Source organism: Homo sapiens, chromosome 3 (genome assembly GCF_000001405.40).
Source record: "Homo sapiens chromosome 3, GRCh38.p14 Primary Assembly".
NCBI classification, from domain to species: domain Eukaryota; kingdom Metazoa; phylum Chordata; class Mammalia; order Primates; family Hominidae; genus Homo; species Homo sapiens.
The window spans coordinates 129,084,744-129,099,840 of NC_000003.12; the positions used below are offsets into that span (position 1 = coordinate 129,084,744).

Sequence of the window (15,097 nt, forward strand, 5' to 3'; positions counted from 1 at the left end):
CTCTTCCCTCTCCCGGCCTCCTCTGCCATGTGCTGGCTTCTCAATGGGCCACACCTCTCCTGCTTGCCACCAACCAGCACAGACTGTGGAGCTTCCTGGCAGAGTGAAGGGCCAGAATACAGCAGACCCAACTGTTGTGCTAAGAAACAAATCTTTTTTTTTTTTTTTTTTTTTGAGAGAGTCTCACTCTGTCGCCCGGGCTGGAGTGCAGTGGCGCCATCTTGGCTCACTGCAAGCTCCGCCTCCCGGGTTCACGCCATTCTCCTGCCTCAGCCTCCCGAGTAGCTGGGACTACAGGCGCCTGCCACCACGCCCAGCTAATTTTTTGTGTTTTTAGTAGAGACGGGGTTTCACCGTGTTAGCCAGGATGGTCTCAATCTCCTGACCTTGTGATCCGCCCACCTCGGCCTCCCAAAGTGCTGGGATTACAGGGGTGAGCCACCTCACCCAGCCGAAACAAATCTTTTAAAATCTGATATGAAAGGGAAACCTCCTTGCCCAAGTGTGGCAAGGACAGGACCAGATCCCAGGAGCCTAGGTGGGGATGAGCCCGACCCACCACGGCCTCCGTAGCCAGAGCTGTAGACAGGGTTGCTTGCAGTGGGCCGCACCGTGGCCCGCTGAAAGCACACAGTGGACACGAGCTGAGTCCACAGCTTTCTCTGAGCTGGGACTTAGCCCTCCAGTGGGGAACCATGGTCAGCGGCTGCAACCCCTGGGCAAGATGGGGCCTGGCCTCCTGCCCTCTGCAGGGTCATAGGAGTGTCTGGGAGCTCAGGGTCAGGGCCAGATGGCTGTTCCTGGGGCCTGGGGCTCCAGCTCAGGATGTTTGGGAACAGGAACTCTTGGCTTGGAGAAGCCCATTACACCACAGGAGGCCTGAGATGGTCGGTCTGCGGGGAGCAGCTCAGACTGGGGGTGGCAGAGCAGCGTGTGGCTGTGTGTGGCCAGGTCAGGGGAGAGTGGCCAATGCTGGGCCCTCTCTAAGGAGCCCGAGGGCCACAAGGACCGTGGAAGAGGTCTTGAGTGAGGGAGTCGGGACCTTGTGGCTAGGGGTCTTGCTTGAGGATGCTCTCTGCAGCCACAAGGAGATGCCCAGGCAGGACCAGGTCAGGAAGAGGCTGGGGCAGAGGCCCAGGCAGGAGGTGGGTGGGCTGGGTGGGGATGGGAGTAGCCAGGGTGAAGGTGAGGACAGGGAAGGGGCCCCCCTGCCTCCTGGCTTCCCTGAGGGCGGGGCTGGCCAATCCCAGCGGCAAATGTGTGCAGGGAGGAGTGGGGTCCAGGTTGGAGCTTTGGGAGCCCTTGGAGGCAGCAAGGCAGACTCACCTCTGGGACCCAGCACCCAGCTTGGGCGTGCAGGTGGGGGCTCAGAAGTGAACATCGTGGGGCTTTGAGCAAGACTCTCTGGGATCCAGTCTCAGCTTCCATACTTTGAAGTCAAGGAGTGGACCTGTGCTGTCTGTTTGCTCTGGGGTCTGGGCAGTCCTGTTGTTTGGGTAGAGGCCTCAGAGGGCCCTAGGGACAGACTGACCCAGGTCTGAGCCTCTTGGGAGCGTGCGGATGGCCGGGCTCAGACAGGCCTGGTTATGGGTTTGACTTACAAGGGGCACACGCGCACTCTGGTGCTTCCTGGCATTCAGAAGAGAAGAGGGAGTTCAGACATCAGGCCTTCCTTCTCCCTGGGAAGGATGGCAGGTGCCTGGAGCCAGGCCTGTCTTGAGAGCCAGGGCTCTGGGTCTTCCTCCTCCAGTGCCCTGTTCCAGGCCTTCAGTGCATAAAGCACTCCCCTCCTGGGGTCTCTTCAGGGCTCCCCGGGATGCAAATGGGACAGGGAATAGGATCCCAGGTTTGAGGAAACCAAGGCCCAGAGAGGAGAAGTGACCTGCCCAGAACCACAGGACAGTCAGGGCACACCTAGGTTTCAACGGCAGGCTGCTATGAGCCCCATCATGTCAGTTTGTCTCAGGCTTGGCAAGGTGGTGCAGCACTGCTAGGCCCCCCTCTTCTTCCTCAGGGTGACCAACCAGCAGCCCTGCTGTTTAAGAGTCCCTTTCGGCAGAAAACCCCTTATTTGAGTGACCAGGAATAGACCCCTGATTATATTGGTGGGCAGGCTATGGATTTCATGGGCTTCCCAGTGCCAGAGACCTGATTCAGGCACTTCTCTAAGCTGAGCATCTACTGTGTGCCTGGTAACATCTCTGTGCTGGTCACATCACAGAAGCAAGAGCCCCTCATGGTGTTCTTAAGTCCTAACTCGGAATAACAACAGGTCAGAGCCCCCCAAAGCCCAGGCACAGGCCCTGAGCCCCTGGACACTGGCGTTTGTGTCTGAGAGGGGGTGAGAACACTTCTCTGTAGGAAATGTCTTCAGCCCAGGATCCAGGGGTGGGGGGAACCTCGACCATGGGGTGGGTTGTTCCTGCCACTGTGGGATCAATGTGGCTACAAGACCCGGGCAAGGGATTCCTCATCCAGGCCTGTGTGCTCAGGAGAGTGACGCTTCCCTCATGGGGAGGTCGGGGTGAGGGTGCCCCTGCCAATCACCAAAGAGCCCTCTCCAACACAAACCCAATGGGAGGAACCTGGGGTGTCCCAGAGAAGGGACCCAGCCCAAGCTTCCTCTGCCCCTCAGGCACCAACTGCTTCTTGCTCAGGGGGGTCCCCCAAGGGTTTAGGGACAGAGGGAAGGTCTCACAGTGCTCTGGGTGGCAGACTGGCAGGGGGCAGCTTGTCTACCACCCCGGGCCTGGAGACTAGTTGAGGCACGTGGCCACCTGGGCCGCCTCTGGGCTCAAAGATCAGAGAACCAGTCCTGGGCGCAGTGGCTTGTTATAGAAATCTGTTTAATGGTTTAGGAATGTGTACACTCTGGCTCTGCCAAGTTTCCATAAAGGCAACTTTTCCATGTTTTAAAAAATAGATTTGGTATAAAGATTTATATATTCATAAATAGGTGGCATGAAAAATTACCAAATGCAAATGGAATACTTGCGCTGACTGAAGCCCTGTTCACCCCAAGTCCAGGCCCTGCAGGGGTCCGAGGGTCTCTGCTGGAGGAGGCCCCAACTCCGGCAGCCTCTTAGGGAAGAGAAACTGAATTAAATGTGTATTAGGAACCCCTCCAGCTCCTTAAGCCAGCGTCGCACTGGCCCCACCGAGGCCTCAGCCCACCTCCCTCTGCTTCCCCCCGCCACCTCCACCATTGCCCCCTCCCCTGCACTCTGGCCCCTGACCCCACCTGTTCCCACTCTTTGGCAATTTATCAACAAAGGAAGAGATGACACTGTTCTCCTTCCGCCCCAGAGCCCGGGCTGCCGGGAGAGCTTAGCCTGCCAAGGGGAGGAAACAAGCCGGCTTTGTTTTGTCTCACACACTTCCCCGTCTTCTCTCCCAGCCCAGTTTTAAGGGCCGGAAGGGCAGTGGGGCCCCCTCCTGGTGGGATACAGCAGGGCAGGAGCCCCTGCAACCCCAGGTACAGGTCTTGAGTCCCTGGACACCGGCTTTTGTGCCTGAGAGGGGGTGGGAACGCTTCTCTGTAGGAAATGGCTTCAGTCCAGGATCCAGGGGTAGGGGAACCTCGACCATGGGGTGGGTTGCTCCTGCCAGGGGGTACTAGGGGCAAGGCCCCAGGGTGGAGCCAGTTCTGGGAGCTGTGTCCAGCTAGGCATCTGTGACCCCAAATGGCATGAATAAAAGGGCAGGTTGCTAAGAGCCAGGGGAGGGCATGGGGCAGGGAGACCAGGTTGGCCCAGACAGGACAGAGGTGCTCCAGGGACAGGGTGCTGGAGTGAAGCCAGGTGGAGCGGTGGAGCTGTGGAGCCTTTGAAACATCCTGAGGGCCCAGGCCTGCCACAGGGTGACCTGGGCAGAGGAGAAGCCCAGAGGACAGCAAGGTGCCCAAATGAGGTCAGGGCTTCTGGGGTGGAGGGACGGGGGGCACAGTGGCGGCGGGGGAAGGAACGTTGAGTCCCAGGTGAGCCTGCCTTTCCAGGCCAAGCCCTTGGAGTGAGGGTGCTCCTGCCTGGGGGGCGAGAAGTGGAAGTGGCTCACAGTCCAAGGTGACAAATGAACCCATCACCGGTCAGCTACCATCCCTGTGAAGGAGCCAGGGTGGAAGGCCCTGTCCATGTCCTCCCTCCCTCCCTAAGCCCTGAGGAAGGTAACAGCCCCACCTGTGAGGCCCCAGCCTGGAAGCAGAGTAGGAGAGCCGGGCTTCTTAGAGGTGGGCAGTGGGTGGTGGTGGGCAGTACTGGTAAGTATGCTTGGGTGGCTGGGACTTGCCCTGGAACTGGGGCTGAAATTCAAACGGGGAGGCCCAGGCCTTTGTTCCCAAGACCCTGTGAATGCTCCCTGTTCCCCCAAAAACAGAGGGGCTCTGCAAGGACAGGCTTCATGGGATTTCTCTTTCAGAGTGGGCCTGCAGTGAAAGACCAGCTCAGCCCCTTCTGACCATGTGACCCCAGAAACTTCAGCCCCAGCAGAAAGGTTGTGAGGCTGGAGGAAGGCACTGCCCACGGCACATCCAGTCCCAGCGGGGTCTGGGGGCACCCCTCAGTGCCAGGCACTGTCTGCCCTGCAAGGGGAGCCCAGGCACTGCAGTGGAGGCGCAGGGGCAGAGCCCAGACCCCACTCAGCTCCACTCTCACCCCTGCCACAAGCAAAGCTGCTGAGAAAGGGAGCCAGGCAGCCTCGCCTCTGGCGCCCCCCAATCTGATGCACCCAGACTCCCCTCAATGCAGGTGCTAGCCCCTCAGCTCCTGGCAGCCTTCCTCCCCTGCAGAACCAGGCTCAGCCATTCCACAGGTAGCCTCCCTGCCCAAAAGGAAGCCTGGCAGGTGAGATGCTGGCTCCACCACCAGCATCAAGCCCTGCTTGTCTCAGTCTCAGCAGAGGAAACCCTGTCCAGGCCCCAACCCTGCCTCTTGGGTCACCGTGGCACTGCTGTAAGGCCTGCTCTTGCCCTATGGCCAGGCCTGCCTGGAAAGTGCTTAGTGCAGAGGGCAGGGAGGCATGGGGGAGGCCTCTCACTGGCCCAGGGACTGCACTGAGCCATGCCTGGCCTGCCCCTGGGAGCTAGACCACAAACCGACGCAGCCCTGCTCGTGGGTCCAAGAGCTGCTTACTTCTGGGGGCACCCATGCTGAGGGGGCTGCGAGGCAGAGCTGGGCTGACACAGACGGACTGGGATTGGCTAAGGAAGATCACCTGGCCCCTCCAGCCCTAGCCCTGGCTCTTTTGTCACTGTGATACCTCTGAGCCACATGCCCAGAGGACAATGCTGCTTCCCACATCCCCCTACCCCACTTTTGCCTTCTAACCTTGGTGCCCAGCTCAGGGTGAGGCAGTTAAGGGTCCAGGGAATAAAATGGGCCAGGCCAAGGACCGCCAGGGCCTCTCCTTTTTTGTCTGGGAGACTCGATTCCATAGACTGGGACCCACGCTCGGCTGGCAGGATTCCTGCTTGTGGGGTAAGGCTGGGTGCCTTGCGGTGCCCTCTCATCCCTGAGCCTCAAGGATGCAAGCTTCTACTTGGACCTTAAATGTCCACTTTCTCATCTCATTCCCCCACCTGCCAGACTTCTGAGTGCTGGCACTGAAGGATTAGCTAATTTTGCAACCTGAGTGGCAAAACACTGGGCCCTGAGCCAGCAGACAGTCCCCACCTAGCTGTGGGCCGTGACCCCACCTAGCTGTGGGCCGTGACCCCATGCTGTGCTGATGAAAATGAGAAGCTACACAGAAAGTCAGAAAACTCAGAGGTCCTGATAAGGCAGTGAGCCAGACCCCAGGGAGATGTCTGTGAGTGCTGCGGGGGCAGTGAAGGCAGGAAGCAGGTTCCCCGCCTGGAAGGGGCTGGGGCTTCCCTGGAGCTGCGCTCAGGCACCAAGTCTGTGGGTCTCATGGCTCTAGCTCTGCTGCTCTGTGCAGAGCCCCAGGATGACCGGGAAGAACCCAGGGCACTGGACACATCCCTGGAAAGCAGCAACCTGCTGCCACAGGTAAAGCAAACCCATGAGAGGAAACGGTCAGAGCCAGCAGGCATGGGACAGGGAGGACTGCTGGCCCCTCCTACTGTGGCCCACACCGGCGGGTTCAGGCCAGTCTTGGAATGTGAAGATGGTGGAGGGCCAGCTGCTGGCTGGCAGGGTGGCCCGCCAGGGTATCCTGCTTCCCCTTCCTCAAGGAGAGCCTCCATCCCGCAGCCAGGCCACAGGATGCAGAGCTCCAGAGCTTCACCCGGCTGCTGTAGTTGCCGGTACCCAGGAGGGCTGGCTCTGGAGGGCTGGGCTTGGCAGGCTGGGGAGAGCAAGGAGGTGGGGAACCCCCAGTCTGCCGGCCCGGCCCCTGGTCAGCACCCGCAGCCCCAGCCTTCTCCGATGTCCTTGCTGTTCAGCTGGATGTGGTCGGGGCTCTTCTCGCTGAACAAGGGGCCCCCGTGCCGCATGATGAGCTCCGTGGCCACCCTCAGGAAGGCCTCCTCCACGTTGCTCGAGTCCTTGGCAGACGTCTCAATGGCACACAGGATGTCATAGTGCTCAGCCAGGCTCTGTGCCTCAGCCAAGGAGACCTCCCGAAGCTCGCTGAGGTCTGACTTGTTCCCTGCGGAGGAAAGCCGGGGCAGCATGAGGCCATGGGGGCTGGGCAAGCCCAGTCCCACCTGGGAGGGTCACGCTGACAGCCCCATGCCACTCCCTTCCACCACTATAAATGGACACCCCTGGCATGGTCATCTGTCTTTCTTTAAAAAACCTTTTTTAGGCCGGGTGCAGTGGCTCACGCCTGTAATCCCAACACTTTGGGAAGCTAAGGCAGGAAGACTGCTTGAGCCCAGGAATTCAAGACCAGCCTGGGCAACACAGTGAGACCCCGTCTCAATTTACCCAGATCCTCCTAGATGGTATGAGATGACTTCATTACATTCCAAACAATCTGTTAAATTGCTCCTTGACCCAATTTCTAGAATAATTTTTTAAAAGTCTCTACATGGTTGACTTTTGTAATGTGGTTATAAGGAAGACAAAAAAAAAAAGAGTCTGGGCCAAGCGCAGTGGCTCATGCTTGTAATCCCAGCATTTGGGAAGGCCGAGGTGGGTGGATCACCTGAGGTTGGAAGTTCAAGACCAGCCTGGCCAACATGATGAAACCCCGTCTCTACTTAAAAAAAATACAAAAAATTAGCTAGGCGTGGTGGCGGGGGCCTGTAATCCCAGCTACTCGGGTGCCTGAGGCAGGAGTGGCAAGCGGAGGTTGCAGTGAGCCGAGATTGTGCCACTGTACTCCAGCCTGGGCAACAAGAGCGAAACTCCGTCATAAAAAAAAAAAAAAAAAAAAAGTCTGTAAAGATCTAAAATTTCCTTGGTAACCTTAATTGATGTAGCAACCAGTTTCAAAGTGTGAAACTTATTTGGATCCTGATCTCAACAAACTGGAAAAAATAAAACACATATGAATTTTATGGGCAATTATAAATCTGAATACAGACTGGCTATTTTATATTATTAAGGAAATGTCAGTATTTTTAGATGAGAAAATAATATTGCTGTTTTTAAGTGTTTAAATATTTTGTAGGTTCATGCTGGAATACTGCCAGGTGAAATGGTTTGATGTGAATTTGTCTCAATAATCCGAGGGAGGGGAGGTGACATGGTACAGATGAGAGGAGGTTGGACTTCAGTTGCTAATTGCTGAAGCAGGGTAATGGGTACCTGGGGGCTCATTATTATACTATTCTAAGCCAGATATAGTGGCTCACACCTGTAATTCCAACTACTTGGAGGTTGAGGCAGGAGGATTGCTTGAGGCCAGGAGTTCAAGATCAGCCTGGGCAACATAGCAGGACTGCATCTCTAAAAATATATGTATGTATATAAGTATGCATAAATAAATAGATAAAATACTATTTTCATAGCTGTATAAAATGTTCTATAGGCCGGGCGCGGTGGCTCACGCCTGTAATCCCAGCACTTTGGGAGGCTGAGGCGGGTGGATCACGAGGTCAGGAAATCGAGACCATCCTGGCTAACATGGTGAAACCCCGTCTCTACTAAAAATACAAAAAATTAGCCAGGCATGGTGGCGGGCGCCTGTGGTCCCAGCTACTCGGGAGGCTGAGGCAGGAGAATGGTGTGAACCCAGGAGGCAGAGCTTGCCATGAGCCGAGATCGCGCCACTGCACTCCAGTCTGGGCGACAGGGTGAGACTCTGTCTCAAAAAAAAAAAAAAGTTCTATAATAGAATGTTTTTTAATTAATTATTTTTTGGAAGACAGAGTCTTACTCTGTCGCATAGGCTGGAGGACAGTGGCACGATCTCGGCTCACTACAATCTCCGCCTCCCAGGTTCAAGCGATTCTCCTACCTTGGCCTCCGCAGTAGCTGGGATTACAGGTGTGTGCCACCATGCCTGGCTAATTTTTGTATTTTTAGTAGAGATGGGGTTTCACCATGTTGCCCAGGCTGGTCTTGAACTCCTGAACTCAGGCAATCCACCCACCTCAGCCTCTCAGTGTTAGGATTACAGGTGTGAGCCACCATGCCAGGCTGGAATGTTTTTCAGAAATGTCCTGGATAAATGGGAATTGGTGGCTGGGTGTGGTGGCTCACACCTGTAATCCCAGCACTTTTAGAGGTCGAGACGGGTGGATCACGAGGTCAGGAGATCGAGACCATCCTGGCCAACATGGTGAAACCCAGTCTCTACTAAAAATACAAAAGTTAGCCAGGTGTGGTGGTGCGTGCCTGTAGTCCCAGCTACTCAGGAGGCTGAGGCAGGAGAATTGCTTGAACCCGGGAGGCGGAGGTTGCAGTAAGCCAAGATCGTGCCACTGCACTCCAGCCTGGCGACAGAGCGAGACTCCGTCCCCCACCCCCAGCAAGAAAAGGTGGGGAAATGGTTAGGCTACGTGAGGAAAGCTCTGTTCATGCCAAGCACTCCATGTCCTAGTCTGAACAGGCTGTGGAAGGCAGGCCACATGGAACCAGGCACCACCCTCTTCCTGGCTGGAGTCAGGTCCAGGCCCTGTCTGTACATTTGAGTCAGAAGAATCAACCTGTTGGCCCAGCTACTCGGGAGGCTGAAGCAGGAGAATCGCTTGAACCAGGGAGACAGAGGTTGCAGTGGTTTTGCAGATCTTGCAGAACCAAGATCACGCCACGGCACTCCAGCCTGGGTGACTGAGTAAGACTCTGTCTCAAAAAAAAGAATCAACCTGTTGGGGTGAGGACCCCAGGGATAACATAAGAGCTAAAGAGCTTCTCCAGTCCAGGTCTGGGAAGGTTATATAGAAGGAAAACAAAGGTAAACAGCATCCTTCCACAGCAGCAGTTCTCAAAGTGGGATCCTTGGACCAGCAAGGTGGGTGTCACTTGGGAATTTGTTAGAAACGCACATTCATGGGCCCCACCCAGCCCGCCTGGATCAGATGCTCTGGAGGTTGAGGCCCTGCAGCTGCACTTGAAGAAGACTTCTGTGGGATTCTGAGGCACGGAAGCCATCAAGTGTCCCTGCTCTGTGTGCGGCACAACAGAGAAAGCCACAGACTTGAGGTCAGCAGAAGCAAACTCAAAGCCTACATGTGTATGCTCACAGGCCATGTGGACCCGGATAAATCACTGCACTTTTCTGAGCCTAGCCCCAGCCCCTGTCAAATGAGGAGAAGCCGGGGTACAAGAGCTAAATCTTGACACATGTGAAGAACAGCAGAGCAAACTTCAGCTCTCTTTCTTCTTTCCTCTAATTCCAATTTTGAATATAACTTTCTTTTTTTTTTTTTTTTTTTTTTTTTTTTGAGACGAATCTTGCTCTGTCACCCAGGTTGGAGTGCAGTGGCGTGATCTCAGCTCACTGCAAGCTCCGCCTCCCAGGTTCATGCCATTCTCCTGCCTCAGCCTCCCCAGCAGCTGGGACTACAGGCGCCTGCCACCACAACCGGCTAATTTTTTTTTATTTTTTTAGTAGAGACGAGGTTTCACTGTGTTAGCCAGGATGATCTCGATCTCCTGACCTTGTGATCCGCCCGCCTCAGCCTCCCAAAGTGCTGGGACTACAGGCGTGAGCCACCGTGCCCGGCCTTGAATGTAACTTTCTAAGTGATTAGCAGGATCAGGATTTGCAAAACCATGGCTCAAACTCTGGCTGGGACTCCCTCTGAACTCAGGGTTACACTGTGTTTAAAAAGCAGAGGGAGGCATGGACAGGCAGAGTGATGGGATTTGTGGTCCCGAGGAATCCCCAACTCACCGATCAGCAGCTGCACAATGTTGGAGCCCGCATACTTCCTCACATCCTCAATCCAGTGAGGCACCGACAGGAAGGAGCTCCTCTTGGTGATGTCGTAGGCAAGGATGGCCCCATTGGCACTGCGGTAGTAGCTCTGGGTGATGGTGCGGAACCGCTCCTGGCCGGCCGTGTCCCAGATCTGCAGCTAAAGAAATAAGGTTCCTCAGTGAACCCAGTGGCACAGGCTGAACATGGGGACAGGCAGAGTGACCCCACAGACCCACACCCAGAGCTGTGGTTCCACTGGGCTAGGAGGCCTTCTGAGTCCTTAGAAAGCAACTCAATGGCTCAACCTTGTTGGAAAAATGGGGAAGCAAAGGGAAGGTGAGCAGCCCCTGTCCTGGCCCTCTAGGGTCCCCAGGGAAAGATGGAGGAAGGGGTACACTCTGAGCTGACCCAGGTCCTCCGCGTGCCCCTCCGTGTGCCCCTCTCCCCTCAGGACTGGGCCCACTGCTGCGAAAACAGAACCACCAGTGCTCAAGCGGCCGGCGGCTGGAAAGCTGGCTCCAGGTGCACTGCACGGCCAGCAGTAGGCACGGCCAGGTACCCTCCCCTACAAGAGCATCACGTACCCAGCTGTGTGTGAGGCTCCTCCAGCATTAGGGTTCCCTCAGGACTCTACAGCTTGGTGATGAGGACTGTGGGAAGGGTGACTGGTGGTGGCAATGGGCAGAGTCCTCCCATGGGGCCTTTAAGTACAAGGCAGTTTCCACCAGCTGACCCAGCTTGGCCAAAGCAAGGAGCTTTGGCCACCCATGTCTTCATTTAACACCTACTCTGCCCCATCTCCCACCAGATGTGGGCTGTGGAGAAGAGGTGCCCATGGGTGGGAGGAGCTTCCCTAGTGTCTTTTAGAAGCAGAGTCTGGCAGGATGGATACCAGGCCAGGTAGGGGCAGAGGTCTGTGCGGGGCCAGGAGGCTGCCCACTCTGGGCAGAGATCACCAGCCAAGGGGCATATGCCAGGGATCTTGGTGACCAAACACCTTGGGGATCGGGTGTGCCTTCTCTGCCCCACCAATCACAGGTTCTCATGGCTCTCTGAAGACTGACACCCAGCTTGTGGCGTGTGCCAAGCTGCAGGTCCATCAGCCCCCTTTGCAGGCACAAACACTCGGGGTGTCTCTTTACCTAGTTCTCAAGGTATGTGAGAAAGGTCTTTCTCTCAAGGTCTGTCTGGGGTGGGGAAAAGCCACAGAGGCCCAGACAGTTCCTGAAGGCAGGGCCTCTGCCCCTGGCACTGTGGAGGTGACCACCATTGCCCCAGCCCCAACACAGAAGTCTGAGAGTGAAAGCTCTGGGCCACAATGTGCCAAATAAGACTCCTCTTTCCTGAGTTGTCCCATTTACTCCTCAGTGAGTGGCTCTAAGAAAACCAGGCCTATGTTCCATAGTTCATGCGTCTTGCAGCTCATGCATGGCAGCATGGGGTGAAGTGCAAGGTTTATGTGTGTACCACACAAGCCTGGGATCCAGATAACCTCTGGTGTGGAGATAACTCGTCTCCACACATAACACGAAAGACACCGGCCAAACAACAGCAAAAACACAACACAGAAGAAACAACACAGAGGCAAAGTACTCAAACAATCGTCAATGTTTCAGAAATAGGGAAAGATTCATGGAACAAGGAAAGAATAGTATCTTTTTTGGTGAGGCGCATTCAGAAAGAAAAAAGAGCTCAATTAAAAATATGATTAACATACATGAAAAATGCAACATCAGGGTTGGAAGATAAAGTTGAAGAAATCCCTCCAAAGTAGAGAAAAAATACAAAGAAATGGAAAAGAGAGAAAATAAAATTGAAAGCCAGGTGCGGTGGCTCAAGCCTGTAATTCCAGTACTTTGGGAGGCCAAGGCAGAAGGATCACCTGAGATCAAGAGTTCGAGACCAGGCTGGCCAACATGGTGAAACCCCATCTCTACTAAAAATACAAAAATTAACCAGGTGTGGTGGTGCACGCCTGTAATCCCAGCTACTGGGAAGGCTGAGGCAGGAGAATCGCTTGAACCTGGGAGGCAGAGGTTCCAGTGAGCCGAGATCACGCCACTGCACTCCAGCCTGGACGACAGAGTGAGTGAGACTGTCTCAAAAAAAAAGAAAAGAAAAGAAAAGAAAATTAAGAAGCAGCCTAGGAGAGCAGGATAATCAGAGTTTCAGAAAAAGAGAACAATACAATCAAGGAGAGGAAATCAAGTATTTCAAGAAAAGTATCCAGAATTGACTGAGGGGCCCACCAGGCACACACACAATGGAGCAGAGCAGACCACACTGCATCCATGGGCAGAAGTTCCAGAACAACAGGCAAGAAGAAAGAACACAAAAGACCCATGTGGCATTAGACAGCCAACAAAACAATGCCTTAAAATGAGGAGAAAAATTATTTCCAACCTAGAATTCTCTACCCAACCAACCAGTAGTCAAGTGTGAGGGTTTAATAAAGGCACTCCCAGACATACAGTCCTCGAAAAATTCACCTTCCTGCTACCCTTCCTCAGGGAGTGACTGAAAGTTCCTCTACCTAAAGAAATCAACAAAAAATAAGAAAATGTGGGATCCAGAAAACAGAGAGTTCAACTGAAAAGGGAGGCAAAGGGAGATGCCAGGATGATGGAAAGAGAGATAAATCCCAGGATAATACCTGAGCAGCAGCCTAGACATCAGCCAACTTGGAGCCGGTCAGAGGGCTCCTGGAGCAGCTTCCAGCCATGGCAGCATCGCTGGTGGCAGAGTAGCCCTCCCTCCACACACACCACAGGACTGGAGAAAATATATGAGGCTGTCGTTTTTGGAATGTAGATAACAAGCGGCCTGAGACCATAACCCCTAAAAAAGGAAAAACTCATGAAAGGCACCTCATGATCATTGTGACACTCTACCTGGGAGTTTCCTGACCATGGGGCTAGAATCCAAGCAGAGCACAGTGGTCCCACTGAGCTAAGGAGGCAGAGATCAGGGTCTGGAGCAGATGATGTGATGAAATGAGAAGACATAAGTAGGGGGAGCCCAAAAGTCTATGTGAGGTGTCCCAGTGAGCTCTTGACCAGAGAGTGCCCCTTCCAGAGTTGAGAACAGACCAGAGATAGAGGTTCAGGAGTGCTAGGGGATGCTGAAGTTCCAAGCCAGACACAGTGAACAGGCCTCATTAGTGTCTCATTAGCGACCCGTATATGAGCTATCAGAACGTCACTATGGGTGAGGACCATGCCTAAAGAATAGGCCTCCATAGACCTGCCCTCACCAACATAAGCCTTGGGTTTGGAGGTTGAGTTCTGCCACATTAGCGAGGCTCAGAAACACCTTAGTCTTTCCACATATCCACCCTAACAAAACATAAAAAACAAGCCTAAACGAATAACTTCAAGGTGATCAGCCAGTAACTGAATTGACTACTAGGACAAGAATCAACACTCTTCTAAAGAAGGTAACAGAATCCAGAGTCTCGTTAAGTTATCAACCACAATTTCCATATACTATTGAAAATTGCTAAACGTGCAAAGAAACAGGAAAATATGAACCACAGATAAGGGAAAAAGCAATCTATTGACACTGATGCCAAAATGGCCCAGATATTGTATTTAGTAGGGAGACTTTAAAGCAGCGATTTTAAATATGTTCAGAAAATTACAAGGAAAGTATGTTCAAAGAGTTAAAGAAAAACATCGCCATAATGAGTGGACGAATAGGGGATTTAAGGAAATAAATGAAAAATTATTTCTTAAAACATAAATGTTTTATTAAACTATTTATTATTATTAAAATTACGGGCTGGGTGCAGTGTTTCATGCCCATAATCCCAGCACTTTGGGAGGCCAAGGCAGGTGGATCACTTGAGGTCAGGAGTTGAAGACCAGCCTGGCCAACATGGTAAAACCCCATCTCTACCAAAAATACAAAAATTAGCCAGGCATCGTGGTATGCTCCTGTAATCCCAACTACTCGGGAGGCTGAGGCATGAGAATCCCTTGAACCTCAGAGGCAGAGGTTGCAGTGAGCCCAGATCACGCTACTGCACTCCAGCCTGGACAACAGAGCAAAACTGTCTCAAAAAATATATATATGTTAAACTTAATTTTTTTTTTTTTGAGACGGAGTCTCACTCTGTCACCCAGGCTGGAGTGCAGTGGCGCGGTCTCGGCTCACTGCAACCTCCGCCTCCCGGGTTCATGCCATTCTCCTGCCTCAGTCTCCCAAGCAGCTGGGACTATAGGCGTCCACCACCATGCCCAGCTAATTTGTTGTATTTTTAATAGAGACAGGGTTTCACTGTGTTAGCCAGGATGGTCTTGATCTCCTGACCTTGTGATCTGCCCACCTCAGCCTCCCAAAGTGCTGGGATTACAGGCGTGAGCCACCGCGCCTGGCCTTAATTTTTTTTTTGAGACGGAGTTTCGCTCTGTTGTCCAGGCTGGAGTGCAATGGCACGATCTTCGCTCACCGCAACCTCCGCCTCCTGAGTTCAAGTGATTCTCCTGCCTCAGTCTCCTGAGTAGCTGGAATTATGGGCACGTGCCATCACACCCGGCTAATTTTGTATTTTTGGTAGAGACAGGGTTTCTCCATGTTGGTCAGTCTGGTCTCGAACTCCCGACCTCAGGTGATCCACTCGCCTCGGCCTCCCAAAGTGCTGGGATTACAGGCGTGAGCCACTGCGCCCAGCCTAAACTTAATTTTTAAATTAGTGGAAATTCTAGAACTAAAAATTATAGTAAGTGGAAAATTCACTGGATGAACTTAATAGCAGATTATAGATGGCAGAAAAAAAAAATCAGTGAACCTGAAGAAAAATCAATAAAGAGTTAATATGAGGAAGGGG

The 15,097-nt window shown here is 53.5% G+C and overlaps 2 protein-coding genes across 8 annotated transcripts in view, besides 1 other annotated feature; both read right to left on the minus strand.

Annotated features, from left to right (window-relative positions):
• Positions 1 to 2,825: 2,825 nt before the first annotated feature.
• RAB43 (RAB43, member RAS oncogene family) overlaps positions 2,826 to 15,097 on the minus strand; it is a 34,582-nt gene continuing 22,310 nt past the window's right edge. For 5 of the 7 annotated variants that reach the window (NM_001204883.2, NM_001204884.2, NM_001204886.2 and 2 more), the window contains 2 exons: positions 10,243 to 10,426; positions 2,829 to 6,603 (listed from right to left, as the gene is read on the minus strand). In NM_001204883.2, the coding sequence (NP_001191812.1) occupies positions 6,353 to 6,603; positions 10,243 to 10,426 (435 nt within the window). In that variant the 3' untranslated portion in view covers positions 2,829 to 6,352. Of the gene's footprint in view, positions 6,604 to 7,756; positions 7,851 to 10,242; positions 10,427 to 15,097 lie in introns of all 7 variants that reach the window. The other 2 variants (NM_001204887.2, NM_001204885.1) reach the window with 2 other exon arrangements.
• The window catches only part of ISY1-RAB43 (ISY1-RAB43 readthrough), a 73,492-nt gene continuing 61,223 nt past the window's right edge, over positions 2,829 to 15,097 (minus strand). The window contains exons 12-13 of the mRNA NM_001204890.2: positions 10,243 to 10,426; positions 2,829 to 6,603 (exon numbers count right to left, since the gene is read on the minus strand). Of these exons, the coding sequence (NP_001191819.1) occupies positions 10,282 to 10,426 (145 nt within the window). The 3' untranslated portion in view covers positions 2,829 to 6,603; positions 10,243 to 10,281. The remainder of the gene's footprint in view (positions 6,604 to 10,242; positions 10,427 to 15,097) is intronic.
• Positions 3,707 to 4,251: an enhancer, noted in NCBI's record as "H3K27ac-H3K4me1 hESC enhancer chr3:128807293-128807837 (GRCh37/hg19 assembly coordinates)". NCBI's record gives its function as "activates a minimal SCP1, AML or CMV promoter by ChIP-STARR-seq in primed H9 embryonic stem cells {active_cell/tissue: H9 hESC(primed)}" and the evidence as "EXISTENCE:reporter gene assay evidence [ECO:0000049][PMID:30033119]".